We start from the raw sequence: 16,904 nt of genomic DNA, 5'->3' as shown, positions 1-16,904 counted from the left end.
TCACCCTCTAGCAGACTGTCCTCCAGAGACCGAGACACGGAGCCTCTCCACAAGGAGGGAGGAAAGGGAGGTGGAAACCAGCCTTACCCTGGACACCGGGTGGTCCTTGCTGCATACCCAACCCTCATTGGTCAGACTGGTCTGGGAGGGCCTGGACATGCCCGCGGGGTCCGTTTCTGAATTCCCGTTGCCTGGCATAAGCTCTGGCACTTAGTAGGTCCTCAGTTAATACTTGTCAGATAAATAAATGGCCTCCTTTGGGGAAATGAAGAATGTCCAGGCTGGCCACGGGGAAGGGGCAGTGTTAGGAGTGGAGAGCGAGAGGGTGAGCCAGGCAGATGGGACCTTTATTCAAAGGGCAGTGGGGAGCCATGGAAGGTTTTAGGGAGGGCCATCGGATGAGGTTTTCATTTTAGAAAAGTCCTTCTGGCTGCTGGGTGGATGGGGTCAAGATGAAGACAGGAAATCCAGAGAGGAGGCGGCTGCAGGCTCGCGGGTGAGAGGTGACCATGGCCAGGCCAGGGCGGAGGCAGGGAGGTGGGCGGAGGGGGGCTGCTGGCTCTGCCAACTGTGACCCCAGCACCCAGCTCAGGGAATTATGGCCAGAGACAAAGCAGCTTAGAGCCTGACCCCTGCCCTGGAGCAGATAGGCCTGGGAAGGGGGCTGATGGACACGCTGATGTGATGGGACCTGAGAGGTGTTCTTGTCACCAGGCCAGTTTGGCCCCCATCGCCCGCCTGCCGGCTGGGGTCTAAAAGGCTGGCTGTAGCCCCAGCAGAGAGGACAGGGCCTGTGGGACCCCAGGTGCTGGGAGCACAGAAGCCAGCCAGGCCATCTGGCCCGGCTGAGACTCAAGTGATAGGTCCGCATCAGTGTCAGGCCTCCATGCCCCCCATCCTGGGATGGGAACAGCACATCACAGTTTGCAGAGCCCTGCGGCAGGGGTGACTCTTATTGCCATTTTGCAAATGGGAAAACTGAGACTTAGAGTCTCTCTGACTCACATAAGCAGGACAGGAGACAGTCGAACCAGGTCCCCCAGCTGCAATTTACCACATCTCAAACCCTTTTCCTCTCTCTGTCATTGATTAATCTTTGCTTCAATGTCCACATAGTTCTGTGATTTGCTTTGGGTACATAGTAGCAATAATTATAGCAACAATTTCTAGCAGTTTCTTGGTGCCAGACACTTCTGTCTTTGTTGCCTCGTTGAATCTTCACCATCAACCTTGAATATGAAACCCATTTTAGAGATTAGGAAACTGAGGCTCAGAGACTGTTTATAACTTACTGAGAATCAGGCAGCCCCACTGAGGTGCTTTACCAGTCTCCCCTTTACCAGTGGTTCTCAAACCTTGGCACACCACAGGAAAACCTGTCAGAATGCAGATTCTAGGCCCCAGCAATTCTGGTCCTGTCCGTCTGGGCAGAGCCTTGGCAAGCTTCGTCTTTAGGAGAGAAGCCCAGGTGACTGGGGGTGGGGCTTTCCGGAGCCTGTGTTGCAAGAAGGAAGGCAGGGAGCATGTGATCTTCTCTCGGTCTCCCTCACCTTGACCCTGTCCCAAGGCCAGCTGCTGGCCTCAGGCTGCCTGGTTGCCTTTGAAGGTCCATGGGGATCCGATGGAGGGTTGGTCGTGCTGAAGCCAGGCTGGGTGTCATCCTGGCTCTGAGCACAGTCCAGCCTGGCTAGAGTCAAACCCAGCAGCTTGACCGGATCCTGCTGACCACAGACAAATCCACAACTACCCCGTCCACCTCCCCCAGGCCCATCTGCCTCTGTGCCAGCCAGGCTGGCAGACACTCCATCGGGCGGGCCCCACCTGGCTTGGCCAGGGAGAAACTGGCAGCCACAGCCCCTGGCCTCCCCGATCCCTGTCCCTTGTGCACTGCCCATGGGAGGGGCAGTGGCCTTCCACGCTGGGTCTGGCTCCTGCAGTAGCAGAGCTGGGTGCAGACACGGGTTGGAGGCCGGGGCCATGGGGGCATTCGTAGGCTCATGAGTCCCTTCTCACTCTCTTCTGGGGACTGGGTTTCTGCTGGAAGAGAAAGGGACCAGCCTTAAAAGACATCGTGATTAAAATGGAATTATTATTTCAGCCTGGAAAAGGAATGATGTACTGATCTGTGTCACAACATGGATGAACCTTGAAAACATTCTGCGAAGTGGAAGAAGCCAGGCAGACCCCAAAGGCCACGTGCTGCTGTATGATTCTATTTATGCAAAATATCCAGAGTAGGCAAAATCCATAGAAACAGGAAGTAGATCAGTGATTTCCGGGGGCTGGGGAGAGGAGGGGATAGGGAATGGCTGCCGACGGATGTGGGGTTTCTTTTTGGGGTGGTGGGAATGTTCTGAGTTTCTTTTTGGGGCGGTGGGAATGTTCTGGCATTAGACTGTGGTGATGGTTCTAGAATTCTGTGAATCTGTTAAAATCCAATCAAGTGTACATTTAAAAGTGGTGAATTTCATGTTATGTATATTGTACCTCAACTTTAGAAATGCTAAAATAGAAACAACAAAATCATCATGATGCAACGCCTTTCCTCATAGACCTGGAGCGAGGCCTGAGAGAGAAGCCATATAAGGCAGATGAGGGGTGGGATGGAGAGCTTCCTTTCATTCGCTGCCTGCCCAGTGAGGGTCTGCTTCCTCTGGCACTTACTTAACAAACCCGAGAGTCACCCATGTGTGAGGCATGGGCTGGGCACAGAAGGGTCCACGCCCACCCCTGAAAGTGCTCGTCCATGCTAGAAAGACAGAAGGATGGGGTGGTCATTGAACCTAAGTCAGACCGTGGCTTCCCAGCTCATGCAGAATAAAATGCTCAGGCCTCTCCCGGCCTGCTGGGTGCAGGACCCCGGCCCAGCCCACCTCTCTGAGCTCTGAGCTCATGTCCTGCCCCATCCCTCTCACACGCACACTGGCCTCCTTGCTGGCCTGCAACAGATCAAACTCACCCTACCTCAGGGCCTTTGCTCGTGCTGGTCACCTGATATCTGTGAGGCTCCCTCTCTCACATCCTTCAGGTCTCTGCTCAAATGCGTCTCCCCCAGGAAGTCTTCCCTGGCCTCCCCAGCTAAAACAGCCCCTCCCACCCCTCCCATGCCATTTACCATACTATAGTTTTCATCTTAGCCCTTATATCTCCCTCCAAGAGCTATTTATTGACATGAAAATTTGCTTATTGGCTGTCTCTCCCATTCGAGAGTGGGCTTTCTCTGGGGAGTGTGCACTGCTGAATTTCCAGTGTATGCAACAGTGCTGAGGAGAGGGTAGGTGCTCAGTTAATGCTTTTTAATTAAATTTTCTATTGTGGTAGAATATACATGACATAGAATTTACCATCTGAACCATTTTTAAATGTACAATCAATGTCATTAAGTATATTCACGTTGCTGTGCACCTGTCACCACCATCCATTTCTGGGACTTTCTCATCATCCCAGACAGAGACTCTGTACCTGTTAAACAAGAACTCGCCATTCATTAATATTCTTTTGAATGACTAATTGAATGACTAAGTGTATTTCCTGTGTGTCGGTCACAAGCTAGGTGATGAGCCAGTAAACCTGGCGCCTCGGAGGGTGTGTGTTCCCGTATCTGTCTCGGAGATGGACAGATCGACTCAGAGAGGTGTGAAGGGCTTTGCCCAAGGTCACACAGCTGGTCAGGGTGGGATTCAAACGCAGGTCTTTCCCCCTTTCCACACAGTGGCAGTTCTGGGGGATCACTGCATGCAAAGGGCATAGCCATGGCACCTCCAGGCCTCCAGCCCCACCCAGGGCTTCCCCTGCTGCCGCTCCCCCAAGGGTCACTGTGTCGGCCACATGTTCCTGGTGTCCTCGGCTCTGGCAGGCTGACCACCAGTCACAGGCACGTCTTGGGACCACACTTGGAGGTTTCAGCTTCCCATTTCACCTGGTGCTCTTGGGGTGGAGGCCGGGATCATGGAATCCTTTTTCCATGGCCTTTAACACAAATCAATACTGTGCCCAGTTTAAATGTTTATGTAACTCATCATCTGCCGGCTCTGCTATTACGGTGTGCTTTTCTTTTTATAAACCAAGCTCAGGGGAGGTGATATTAAGTCCAGGACTTGCCTGGCGAGGCCCAGCGCGTGTGCAGAGGATTCAATGTGGCAATAAGGGCGAGTTCCCTGCACAGCGCCTGCCATGGCTCGTCCCAGCCTCCTCCCTCATCTGCTTGTGTCCTCTACACGGTAGGGAGGAGGGAGAGGTCCAGAGAGGGGAGGTGGCTTGCCCAGGGTCACAGCCACAATGAGGTGGAACAGGGATTGTTTCCAAGGTGTGTGTGGGGGTGGGACCCAGGCTCCTGCCAGAGGCCAGGGCGGCAGAGCCCTGACAGGCAGATCCTGGGTTCCTGGGTGTCCAGGTTACGTGGGTGGGCAGGTGGCAGCTGGCACCCACCCCATACAGACACTCTCTGACACCCCCCAAAAATACTCCCACCAGCCCCTTCACATTTTCCTCCAGCCAAGTGACCAAAGCACAGCTCAGGGCCCATTTGCCCTGGCCACACTGTCCCCACTCTCCCCACCCAACCTCTGACCACAGGCCTGGGAGCTGCCCCATCTCCACCAAGTTCAGGCTGCAGGAGGAAACGTCTCACCAGGCCCGCTGGAAGGTGGGGTGGTGATGAAATGTGGGGGTTCTTCAGCGAGAGTGGAATTCAGTAATAAGGTGATCATCACTGCCGGGCGGTGCCTGGACTCATGATGAGCCAGGACTAGGTGAGTGCAGAGGGCTGGTGAGCAGGCCTGATCTGTGACCCCGGTGGCCCTGCGGCTCTCAGACCCCTCACATAAAATCCCATCAGGGATATTCCGTTCCCTGGCCCGGAATGAGGTCTTCGTCTTTCTGATCGCCCTTGGAGAGCCCAACGGCCTTCCGTCACTCACTCAGTGCTGATGTCCAGTCCCGGCAACAGTCTGACTCCGCCCAGACTTGGCGCTTCCCCTCCCATGCGCCCGCCGCCCGGCGTGCTCCCTGCTGGAGGGTGACATGGGGAGGGGCCTGGCTGCAGCCCTTTTCAGGCAGCTCTTGTTGGCTGGGAAGGGAGCCTGGGGATGGGCCGCCTTCTACCTGCCGGTGGCTGTGCCCACTCTGAGTGTGCTTGGTGGGTGATTACAGCTGCTCACAGCTGTCAGGAGTCCTTCACAGGGCAGTCTGGAAGTTTCCTGTAGAGCTGTCTCCTGCAGAGTCCTTACCTAGGGAGACCCCGCTGTATGTCCTGTGGCCAGTAGCATCCTGTGGCTTTGCTCAATCCCCCAGGCACAGTGTGTGCACCCCCAGCCTCCCTCTGCTGTGTTCTCCACGCCCCTCTGGGCAGCCGGCACTCAGGACCTAAGGTGGTCCTAAGCAGCTCTCCCCTGTCCCCTGGAAGTACGTGGAGGTAAAAGCTGCATCCCTGGCAGAATCAGACCCCAAACTCCAGACCCTTTTGCTGTGAGTCTCAGGCTAGGGTCTCCCACCTGCAGGAATCATTTTGGGCCTTTTGAGGGTCTCTTTCATAGACGTGGGTGGGGCGTCTGCTCAGCACCTGCTTTCTCCTTCACCAACTCCTCAGCCTCCCATCTCTGACCCCATAAACGCTGAGAGGAGAACCAGGCCTGGGGGGCAAGTTCAAGGACTCAGGAGGCAGACCGCTGGAATCCAATCTCTCCCCTGCCCTTACTAGCTGAGCGGCTGTTGGCAAGTTGTCTTCTCTGTGCTTCAGTTTCTTCATCTGTGCAATGGGGGTGATAACAGCACACAAGAACATCTTGGAGTTGTTAAGAAGATTCAGTAATAGGTGTAAAATGCTAAAGCTGGGGCCTGGCTCCCAGGAAGTGCCCAGAAGGTGTACTGTGATAACCACAGACGCCACGTCACCCCGCTGGACCTGGACTCCGTGAGGAGGGGGCTCCCCATCTCCTTATCCCAGTGTCAGCCCGCTGCTGGGTAAATTCGCTCGCCAAGCCCATACCAGGTGCTAATGGCTGCAGGAGCCTCTTCCTCTCCCTGACATTTCCCTTCGGCAGCAGGCGGACCCCTCCTTCCTCGCCCACCTCCATCCTTAGCAGCCCTGATACCTCTGACAATGCTAATTAAATGCAACAACCTCATCAGAAGGCTCGAGCTGGGCTTGCCTAAGGCCCCCTCTCTGCCCTGAGCCCTGATGGATCATTAATGGTGTCAGCAGCACTTATGGTGATGGACGAGGGGAGCAAGTCCCCCGACGTGCTGGGGAGGAAGTCCGTGACGAGCATCTTCATCTCCTGTCTGCAGGCCTCGGCCAGAGTTTCCAGGGAACGTCCTAGTCCACAGAATCGTTTGAATTTCACATTTACCCTGGGAGAACCATGGCCAGGCAGGGATGTCAATTCCCATTGTATCCATGAGGCAGTCAGGGCTCAGAGAGGGCAAGAGATTTGGGTGAGGGCACACAGCTGGTAAGTAGTGGGGCTGGGACTGGATTACCACGGCTTTGATGAAAGCTGCAGGGGGCATCTGTAAGATCCAAGGGCGATGTCTCCCCCAGGTGGCACGTGGAGAAGAAAGCCAGCAAGTGCCACCGGCTTGGGGGTAGCCCAGTTCTCGGGGGCTGGAGCCTGCACACTCTCATCTCAGCTCTGTGTCAGTTTCCTAGGGAAGCTGTGACAAAGTGCTACAAACTGCGTGGCTTAAAACAACCGAAATTTGTTCTCTCACAGTTCTGGAGGCCAGAAGTCTGCAATCACGATGCTGGCAGGGCTGGGCTCCCTCTGACGGCTCCAGGGAGGACTCTGTTCCAGGCCTCCCCACCAGCTTCTAGTGGTGGCTGGCAATCCTTGGCATTTCCGGGCATTTCCAGGCATTGGGAGGCCCGGCTCGGCCCCCCAAAGTGCTGGGATTACAGGTGTGAGCCACCATGCCCGTCCTGCCCTTCATTCTTGATGCCTCCCTTCAGCCTCTGCCTCTGTCTCCCCATGGCCTCCTCCCTGTATCTGTGTGTGCTGTGTCTTCATATGGACTTCTTATCAGGATACCAGTCCTTAGATCTAGGGCCCACCATAATCCAGTATGACCGCACCTTAACTTGATCATCTGCAAAGACTCTATTTCCAAATAAGTTCCCATTCATAGGTACCAGGGGTTAGGATTTTAACATCTTTTTGTGGGATGCAGTTCAACCCACGATACCATCTTTGCCCATCTCTGGCTCTGGCGTGCAGGGACCTGTTACTGGGCGGGTCACTAGGGATACCACCTCTCACCTCTCTGGGCACCCATTGGTAGGCCTGTGCTGTGCCCAGCACCAGGGGGCTGGCTGAGGCCTCCTTGTTCAGTGGCTCCTGTGTGCCTCTCCACTTGGGGGTTGCCCTAGAGCTGCCCAGGAAGGGAGGAGGCACCTCAGGGGGGGAAGGACAGCATGAGTTTCCATGGGCTTCTCGTCACCCACACAGAGTGACTTGGAATAATGCACCCAGTGGCTGATCTGGGGCCCTGAGCTCGAGGCTGCAGCCAGTGGCAGCTCCAGGCCCTGCAGTGTGGGGACAGCGATGGCCAAAAAGAGCACATGCCAAAGGCCCTGCCACTTAGGGGACTTTGGGAAAGTTTGACCAAGTTTCCTTGTCTCTAAGTAAGGAATGATAATTGGTCGATGGGATTGTTCTGAGATGAAAGTGCTGGTCCTTGGGAAAGCTTCAGCTGAAATGTCTTTTTATTTTGCCCTTCACTCTTTTTTTTTTTTCTTCACTGTTGTCGCCCAGGCTGGAGTGCAATGGTGCAATCTCGGCTCATTGCAACCTCCACCACCTCTCAGGTTCAAGCAATTCTCCTGCCTCAGCCTCCCAGATAGCTGGGATTACAGGCGCCCGCCACCATGCCCGGATAATTTTTTTGTATTTTTAGTAGAGACAGGGTTTCATCATGTTGGCTAGGCTGGTCTCGATCTCCTGAGCTCAGGTGATCCACCCGGCTTGGACTCCCAAAGTGCTGGGATTACAGGTGTGAGCCACTGTGCCCGGCCTGCCCTTCATTCTTGACGAATATTTCGACTGAATTCAGAATTCTGGGTTTCCAGGTTTTAACATTTTCTTTCGGCACATTAAAAGAGTCTTCTGGGTGCCATTATTTCTGCTGACAAGTCAGCAGTCTCTGAGTCCTGGTGTCTCTGAATGTAATATGTTGTTTTTATTCTAGCTGCTTTAACATTTTCTCATTATTTCAGTTTCCAGTAGTTTGCAGTTTGACCAGGATGTACCTGGGTATAATTTTCCTTGTGCTTATCCTGCTTGGAGTTAGCTAAGCTTCTTAAATTTGTAAATTGATGTCTTTTACCAAATTGAGGAATTTTTCGGTCATTATTTTTTTATGTGTTCTTTTTAGTATATCTTCTCTCTCCCCTCCCTCTACAACTCCAATCACATGTGTGTTGAACCTTTTGATATGCAACAGGTCTTTGAGGATCTTTTTCTTTTTAAAAAAATTTTTTTTCTCTCTATTCTTCAGACTGGGTAATTTCTATTGAAATCATCTTCAAGTTCACTAACTCTTCTATTTTCTCAGACTTTCTGTTAAGCAATTTCTGTTAAGGTGTGATTTTTTTTCTGTCTCAGACATGGTATTTTTAAGTTATAGAATTTTCATTTAGTTCTTTTTTAAATTGTTTATATTTCTCTGCTGAGATTTATTCTTTCATGAAGTATGAGCCAATTTTCTTTACGTCTTTTAACACAGTTATCATAGCAAGTTTAAAAATCTCTATTTGCTAATTGCAGCGGCCAGCACATTTCAGGTGAGTTTCCACTGACTGTCTTTTATATTAAGTATGGCTGGTTTTCCTATTTCTTTGTATATCTTCATATAATTTTGGATGATATCCTGGGTGTTGTGAATGATAGCATAAGAGCGACTCTAGATTTTTGTTACTTCTCCCCAAAGAGCATTTTTGTTTTGCTTTGTATTTGCAAGCAGTTAACTTGGCTGAAAGCAACTGTAAACCATCTGCAGTCGTGAGTGGTGGGCAGTGGCAGGAGCCTCTGTTCACTTCTTCTAGCCCTGGCTGGGTTGCAGCTGCTGGAAGTCTGTCCTGTGTGTGTGTGGTTTGGGGTCAGCCCAAGACATGGGCAGAGTTTATTTGCCCCCTCTGGGGATCTGTCTTGGTGGCTCTCTTCATTCCAGAATTTACTCCCACATTTTTCCAGCTGCTGCGAGTGTCTCAGACTCTGTTTGCTGCTCTATCAAGCCAGTGAGACTCTGGCTTTCCGTCTGAGTTCTGGCAGCCCTATGACACAGGCTGGGACTTGTCCTCAGGCTGTGAAAGCCATGAGACCAGGAAAGCCAACGCCGGCTGTTCCTCCCAATTGCTGACCGCCTGCAGCATCTGCTGCGGCCTCACCCTCCGATGCCTTCAGAGTGTCATTTTGTTGTTGTTTTTTCAAGGGTTTATAGTCTATAGTTATCTGTGAGAGAGTTGCTGCACTAGGAGCTACTAGGCTATTACCGGAAGCATTTAGAGCAGGGCCTGGCAGACAGTAATCACTTAAGAAATGTGAGTTAATGTGGTCAACCATAGTGCGGCGCTGTTTCCTCTGGTCAAGGCTAGAGACAACGTGGACACAGACAGCACCATGCAGGAAGTGTCAGTACCTAGTGAAGAGCACACAATGGCCTTAAGACTGCACTTGTAGGCCGGGCGCGGTGGCTCACACCTGTAATCCCAGCACTTTGGGAGGTCGAGGTGGGCAGATCACTTGAGGTCAGGAGTTTACCAACCTGACCAATATGGTGAAACCCCATCTCTACTAAAAATACAAAAATTAGCTGGGTGTGGTGGCAGGTGCCTGTAATCCCAACTACTCGGGAGGCTGAGGCACGAGAATCACTTGAACCTAGGAGGTACAGGTTGCAGTGGGCCAAGATTGCACCGCTGCACTCCATCCTGGGTGACAAAGTGAGACTCTGTCTCAAAAAAATAAATAAATAAAATAAAAGCCTGCAGTTGTAGGAGAGACCACTTAACTGGGGGAGGGGGAAAGGGGACTATCCAGGAAGGCTTCCTGGAGGAGGTGGTATTGGAGCTGGAAATGTCAGATAATCCAAGATGAGAAGATGGACTTTCTTCACAGAGGTGGCTGCCAAAACAACCAATTTTATGGCCTTACTGATGAGAATTTCTGGCACTCAAGAGAGGCAACTTTTCCTAAGGCAAATCCTGAAGACATTTACCTATAAAAATGAGTAGACATTAAACATCCACTAGCTCCTTCATGGGCCAGAGGAAGCAGTGCTCAGGCAAGAGGGGATCTGAGGTCTGGTGGTGGTTCTGTAGATGTTTGCAGGGAGCGACTGGCGGGACTGGTAGGCGGGACCATCCACAGTGAGGTTGGGCGCCCAGATCCATCGCCACATTGCAGAGCTTGTGGCTGTCAATTCTGTGGCAGCCAGGAGCACAGGTGACCGGGAGCTTTAGTTTCTGTCCAGTACATTTTGGTGATTCATTATTCCTGGAGTCCTCGTCTTCTCTTCCTCCCTCCCAGACCCTCTCACCTCCTTGTCTCACTTGAACCTCTAATCCTGGGAAGGCTCCACCATAAGCACACTACAGATAATGAAACCAAGGCTCAGAGAAGTTGTGTGGCTTACCCAAGACCACACAGCTGAAGCACTGGAGCCAAGACTCCAACCAGCACTTCTGTCTGCAAAGAGCTCATGGCGTAGTCTCTCATGGAGGGAGCCTCCATCTCCTCTGCTGCCAAATGGAAATCACAGTAGTGTCTCCCGCAGGGGCTGGCGTGAGGTTAAAGGAGGTAGCAGATATGAAAATGACATATAAATTGTAAATTGCCCACAGACATTAGTGTGTGTTGCCTGGTAACCACCCAGCATTTGTGGACTGCATTTACTTGGGATAGCAATAGTTATATTGGCATTTTAATTTAATAGCATTGTTATGTTCCCATCATAAAAATAATATACACTGTGTGTATGCCCACCCTCATCAAATTATATACATTAAGTATGTGCAGCGTTTTATATATTGATTGTACCTCAATACAGCTATTAAAAAATGATGTAACTTCATTATAGAAAATCTAGAAAATATGGACAAGTTGAAAGAGGAGGAAATATTATTTTGTTCCAGCTACCCTAAAGCTACCTCCGTTCACATTTTGGAGAATTCTCTTCCAGCTTTTTTCCCCACTGCCCAGTTTCTTTGCTTATTTCACATGGCTATAATCACTGATGTAGATCATTACAAGCATTTTATACCCAATTTTATATCCCGTTCCTTCACCCTCAGGGGGTTTTAATATGAAATAGCAAGAACCAGCGCCCCATCGGGGACCCTAGCACAGCTGGGCTGGGTGGTTCTGGCTTCTGCCCAGATGTGTCTGGGTGTCCCTGGGCCAGGGCAGGCTGCCCCACGGAGGGACAATGTCAGGACAGCTGGGACCTGACCCTGTTCTGACTCCATGCCCGGTGGGCGTTTCCGTGTTCCCACAGAGCTGCTTTTCTTATCTTGTCTTTTTAAGTTCAGTGACATGTGCATCTGTCTTGATGGATGGATGGATACGTCCAGCCCGTCATCCCACTTCTAACCACCCTCTCTCAATCTTTTCTGTTGCCTCAAAGCTGGCATTGACTCATGGCTCAGAAGGCCAGGGCAGGCCAGGAGCTGTCCTAAAAGGCCCAGACTGGAAAAAGAAAAGGCATTTCTTGGATAGATATCTCTGGCCTGGCTACTGCATACAGGCACCATTTGAAGCCGTGAATTAAGCCTGAGGCTCCTGCCCTCATGAAGTTTACGTTCTGGCCAGGAAGAGAGCCTACAGATGATAAAAGCCTTTACAGAAAGAAAAACATCAGATTAGGTTGGGGCAGGGATGGTCAGGGTGTCCTGTATGAGGGTGCTGGGGTGCAGACAGCAGTTTCAGCAAGGTGATCCAAGCTGTGCTCACGGGAAGGCAGCAGTGGGGCAGAATTGGAAGAATAGGAAGGAGCCATGCTGGTACCCAGGGAAAGCCACTGCAGGCCGAGAGAGCAGGTCTTGGGACAGCAGGTGGCCAGGACTTTTGGGAAAGGGCAAGGAGCCTGGTGTTTGGAGGGGAATAAGCAGGTGGAGAGCAGTAGATGAGGCTGGGGAAGGGGAGGAGGTACCTTTTGCTGAGTTAAAAACACGAGACCCCGTGCATACAACAGTAAATGTTTTCATCATCTTGCATCTGCGATTCTGTGGTCTGGGCTTGGCTGGGCTTGCCCTGCTCTGTGGGTCAGTGGGGCCCTGCTGGAGGCTGGGCTTGGCCGGGGGTTGGGGGGGTTCTTCTGCACCCACTCTTCCTCCTCCCCCTCAGGGGCCAGTGGGCCAGCCTGCGCAGGTCCTGCTCCTGGTACCGCCAGAGGCGTTGATGGCAACCCCCAGTACCTAAGCCCCTTTGCATCTCTGTTTGCGGCTTGTCGAATTGCCGTTCTGCAGGCCAAAGCAAAACACAGGGACAAGCCCAGAATCAAGGTGGGGGGCAGAGAACAGGTCACCTGGCCCACCATGGGAGGGGTGAAGGTTTGGCTCCAGATGCGGCCCACCTGGGCCTCGGCAGGTGGGGGCTGCCTTTAGAACACTCTGTGCTTTTCTCTGAGTACACAATGGGAGCCGCTGGAGGGTTTTGAGCAGGGGAGTGCCAGGATCAGTCCTGGGTGTTACCAGCCTCTCTGCTGCCAGTCTGTTGAGGCTACGTCATAGCCAGGGAGAAAGAGCTGTGGCAGTCATCCAGTGAGAGGTGGGAGAGTGGCTGGCATCCCGATATGCTGTGAAGGCTGAGCAGGCAGGATTGGATGTGGGGTGTGTGTGTGTGTGTGTGTGTGTGTGTGTGTGTGTGTGTGAGAGAGAGAGAGAGAGAGAGAGAGAGAGAGAGAGAGAGAGAGAGAGAGAGAGAACGAGAAACTCCAAGGCTTGGGCCTGAGCAAGTGAACAATAGAGCTGTCATCACCTGAGACTGGGGAAGCTGCAGAGGATGAGGCTGAGGAGGGATCAGAATTCAGTTATGGTGACCAATGAAGGGTTTTGAATAGAGGGACACAGGGATGCACTGGCTCAGGAGTTTGGTCATCACGTTGGCCGCCAGAGGGAGAACAGAGGCTGGGACAGGGAACCCTGTGGAGTGTCCTCTCTGTGGCTACAGGGAGCAACGGTCAGATCTGTGGCTGGTTTGAAAGTAGATCCATTTTGCTAAAGGTGGTATCACAGATTTTGGAGACTACAGAATCCAGGCCAGGAGAGCAAAGAACGACAGAGGTCCCATTCACAGCAGCGGGCCATCCCGGGCTCCTACTAGCTTTTGCTGCTTGGGCCTATGGGGATGGTATTCTAGAACTTTCCATCTTCCAAGACATACTGGAAATGTGGATTTTTATAGGAAATCTTCTACTTTTCAAATATTAAGAATGACTTCAAATTAAAAGTAATAATCATTTTGGGGCTGCAGTAAAACTTGTTGGTGGAGCAGGCCTCAGGCTTCAGGTTGGTGAGCTGTCCTCCAGTGGGGGTTTCTCTTCCAGGCTAGGGCCTTGTCCTCCCCTGCTCTCCCCCACTCCCAGGGCTGGCCACCCAGAATGTGCAGGCCACTCATCTCTGTGACTCGTAGAACCTGAGAATGTTGGTGATGGAAGGGGTGTTCCCCTAGTTCCCACATGCAAAAAGTGGGGCCTGGAGATGGGGCTGTCTTTTTTCTCCAAACACTTGCCCATCCAGGAAGGCCAGCCCTGGGCATTGAAGACTCCAGGTATGGGGGTGACTCCATAAGGAGAGGTTCCTGAGTGACCTGAAGAAACATGGTTGGGATGAAGTGCAGGGAGGGTCAGGGCAGGCAGGGCTGAGCTTCGCTTCTGCGAGCAGAGATTAGAGAGCGATCCCAGAGGCCTGCCTGGAGGTGGGGCCACAGAGCAGGAGTCTGAAGGAGAGGGGGTAATTCACCTCTGTCCTACTGTGTGGGAAGCCCTGAGTGGGCCCCTAGCAGAGGGTTGCCTTGCGCTTATCTATGGAGATATTGGGAAGGGCTTCCCTGACCCAGGTTGCTGGAGCATGGGGGCCTGGGTGGCAGGGGTAGGTGTGGGAGATTCAAGACAGGAGGATGAGGCCACATCCAGGTGGCTTCAGATACCACCGTGAGTCCCATAGAGTGTCCAGTTACTATAAAGTCTGCCAGCCACTGTGGTCGCCCCAGGCCTGTGCCAAGTCCCGAGATCTCTGCCCTGCAGCCAGTGCAGAGGGAAGAGGAGGGCAGGAGGGGACAGGTTGGTGGCCCCTCGCCGATGCTCCTGACCCCTCAGGCTCCCTGCTGCCTCCTGCCCAGGGCTGTGGGGCCTCGGGGAGCGGGGAGCTCGCCATTGCTGTGGCACTGTTGAGCACCCGGGAGAGGCGGGTTCTGACAGCCACCCCTTCCCGTCTTGCTGTTCCCCTCCCAGCTGACATCATCTCTACCGTTGAGTTCAACCACACGGGAGAGCTGCTGGCCACAGGTGACAAGGGCGGCCGGGTCGTCATCTTCCAGCGGGAACCAGAGGTGCGAAGCCCTGGGTCTGGTGGGAGGTGGGAGGGGTGGGGAGCAGAGTCAGGTGGGAGGCGGGCATGGTGGGAGGGGATAAGGATAAGGGGGATAAGGGGTGATGCGGTGAGAGGTGGGAGGGGACTATACTCCAACCCACAAGAGGGCTTTTAACTGACAGGAGGTGTGGGGTGTCTTGCCTGGATCACATCTCCCAGGGGCATGGATTCCAGGGGTGGGAATGGGATGCTTTGGAATGCCGAGGTGGGAGTGGCGGGCGGTGGTAGGGGGAGTGCACTGGGTGGGCTGGCAAAGCCAGGTTCTGAGCCCCCTGCCCTCAGCCGATGTTTGCGGAGAGCTGCCTGCATCCCATGCTCTGTCCTAGACCCTGGATGAATGGTCAGGATGTGGCACAGGCAGCTGCTGCCCCAGCTTGTGCCTTCAGTGAAACCTTCCTCTGCCTGGGTGACCTGCGTTGTCCTGGCCAGACTGGGGAGCGGGAGGACTCCACTCTTGCCCAGCTGTCACAGCCCTCAGACTGAGCTAGGTGGTTTTTGCTCAGGCCTGGGCCCTTGTCCTCACCCCTGTCCTCACCCCCACCCCCGGGGGCTTGTTGTCCAGCAGAACTCTGGGTAAGACAGCAGTGGCCTGGACAACCTGCCCAGGACCACGTTTCTGGAACACTGAAAGAGCCTCGGGACAAAAGCCCATTTACTGAGAACACTTGCTAAGTATTCTGGAGTTGCTTCTGGTTTACTCTGCACTGCTCACCTCCGAGGGCCAGATCCACACCCCTGTGACAGATGCGGAAACTCAGAGAAGCCACCCAGCTAGTGAACAGCAGACCTGGCTGCCCGACGCCAGGACAGTGGCCAGCAACGTCACACACCACCCGGCCTCAGAGAGGGCGTCTCCCCCCGCAAACACGGACTGTGCCTGGAATTAGATGCAGAAGACATCCAGGAAACCAAGGAGGAGGGAGGAGGGGATGGAGCAGGAGAGGCAGGGGAGGGGAGGGGAGGAGGAGAAGAGAAGGTGGAGAAGGGGAGGTAGGAGGGAGGGGAGGAAGCCGGGGGTGAAGAGAGGACCTGCGGAATCATCTTTCCCCCGATTCACTCCTGAGCATGGCCCACGAACTGAGGATCCTTGAGTCTGACTTTATCTTGGTGGCTCACATAACCCTCCTCACGGTGACCCTGTGGGTGTAGTGCAGTGCGGCTACTCCCCTCATTTTACAGAGGAGGAGCCCAGAGTGCAGAGGGTTAAAATAGTTGACAAGGGGCACATCCTAGCTGCCAATCAGTTCCTCAAACACAGCACTCGGCCAGCACCTGTGGGCTTCACCAGATGCACCTGTGGGGTGTCCCACCAGGCACTGCGAAGCTCAGCCTTCTTTTTGCCAAGCTGCAGAAAGAGATCGGATTGGTTGATGCGATTTTCTTCATTTTGAATTTTTCTCCTTTAGTGTTTTCTTCCTTCTAGTCCCACTGACCTTTGTCATAGCGAGTGCTCATGGGAAGTGAAGTGAATTAGAGGCAAAAATATTGGAGAACTTCTAAGCTTTTCAAAAGCAAGACAGGGATAGAAATATAGATACTTAAAAAAATTACCAGGAAATCTTGAAATTGTTCTGGGTTGAATGTCTCCGTTTCTCCCTGGTTGGGGTTTCGTGTTGTCGTATGAGTTGAACTCTCTCCTGGGAACGTGGTCCCTGGCGCACACAGTGGACTCACCACCTGACTATGCTGGGAGCTCCACGGTCAAGGGTCTTTATTAGAAGGAGCTCTGCTGCCTAAACCAGGCCAAGCACTGCTGAGGAAAGCCGGGGACAGATTCCAATCCAGGTCTGACATTGCCAGACATTCTGTCCCAATGTTAAAGTCTGCTCCCAAATTCATTTATTCCTCAAGTCAGGCCTGAGTTGGACACGTGGAATCCAGGAGCAAGTCAGGGCCCAAGACACGAGGGTGGCCAGAGCCTCAAGCCTTGGCGTCAGGCAGGCCTCGGCAGAGGGGTGCTCGCCGGAGAGTGACCTCACGGCTCTGGGAAGTCACTTCCCCTCTGAGTCTCTGTTTGCTGGTCTGTGAAATGGGGAGAGTCGTGGTGCTCAAGCAGAGGAGGCCTGGAGGGTAGAATGCGATGGTGCGGGGAGGACTTAGTGGGGTGTCCAGCTTGTAGCAGGCGCTGGGGAACATTCGCATTAGCAAGTTAGCCGGCTCGGGTGTGAGTGTTTCATGGGACCGCACGGGAGCGGGGCTTGTCCCTGGCACACTGCAAGTCATGGGCCGGTTAAGCTGCAGAGAGTTTCATTTGACCCTCGAATTGGATCCCTGGCACGGCTCGGCACTTGGTCCCACGGCCGGCCCTGCTGGGTCCCCG

At 53.2% G+C, this 16,904-nt stretch overlaps 1 protein-coding gene across 9 annotated transcripts in view, besides 4 other annotated features; it reads left to right on the top strand.

Annotated features, from left to right (window-relative positions):
• The window catches only part of PPP2R2C (protein phosphatase 2 regulatory subunit Bgamma), a 243,219-nt gene that overhangs the window by 168,260 nt on the left and 58,055 nt on the right, over positions 1 to 16,904 (top strand). For 8 of the 9 annotated variants that reach the window (XM_047415891.1, NM_001206994.2, NM_001206995.2 and 5 more), the window contains one exon: positions 14,446 to 14,543. Coding sequence is in view for 6 of the 9 variants with exons in the window: in NM_001206994.2 (NP_001193923.1) it covers positions 14,446 to 14,543 (98 nt within the window). In the remaining 3 variants the exon portion in view is untranslated. Of the gene's footprint in view, positions 1 to 13,671; positions 13,764 to 14,445; positions 14,544 to 16,904 lie in introns of those variants that run through there. The other variant, NM_181876.3, reaches the window with a different exon arrangement.
• Positions 1,245 to 1,798: an enhancer, noted in NCBI's record as "H3K27ac-H3K4me1 hESC enhancer chr4:6395469-6396022 (GRCh37/hg19 assembly coordinates)". NCBI's record gives its function as "activates a minimal SCP1, AML or CMV promoter by ChIP-STARR-seq in naive H9 embryonic stem cells {active_cell/tissue: H9 hESC(naive)}" and the evidence as "EXISTENCE:reporter gene assay evidence [ECO:0000049][PMID:30033119]".
• Positions 1,799 to 2,352: an enhancer, noted in NCBI's record as "H3K27ac-H3K4me1 hESC enhancer chr4:6394915-6395468 (GRCh37/hg19 assembly coordinates)". NCBI's record gives its function as "activates a minimal SCP1, AML or CMV promoter by ChIP-STARR-seq in naive H9 embryonic stem cells {active_cell/tissue: H9 hESC(naive)}" and the evidence as "EXISTENCE:reporter gene assay evidence [ECO:0000049][PMID:30033119]".
• Positions 4,378 to 5,090: an enhancer, noted in NCBI's record as "H3K4me1 hESC enhancer chr4:6392177-6392889 (GRCh37/hg19 assembly coordinates)". NCBI's record gives its function as "activates a minimal SCP1, AML or CMV promoter by ChIP-STARR-seq in primed H9 embryonic stem cells {active_cell/tissue: H9 hESC(primed)}" and the evidence as "EXISTENCE:reporter gene assay evidence [ECO:0000049][PMID:30033119]".
• Positions 5,945 to 6,444: an enhancer, noted in NCBI's record as "H3K4me1 hESC enhancer chr4:6390823-6391322 (GRCh37/hg19 assembly coordinates)". NCBI's record gives its function as "activates a minimal SCP1, AML or CMV promoter by ChIP-STARR-seq in naive H9 embryonic stem cells {active_cell/tissue: H9 hESC(naive)}" and the evidence as "EXISTENCE:reporter gene assay evidence [ECO:0000049][PMID:30033119]".

The sequence above is a fragment of the Homo sapiens genome, chromosome 4 (assembly GCF_000001405.40).
Source record: "Homo sapiens chromosome 4, GRCh38.p14 Primary Assembly".
NCBI classification, from domain to species: domain Eukaryota; kingdom Metazoa; phylum Chordata; class Mammalia; order Primates; family Hominidae; genus Homo; species Homo sapiens.
The sequence above is the reverse complement of the archived record's forward strand: the minus strand, read 5'-3'. Positions and strand labels throughout refer to the sequence as shown.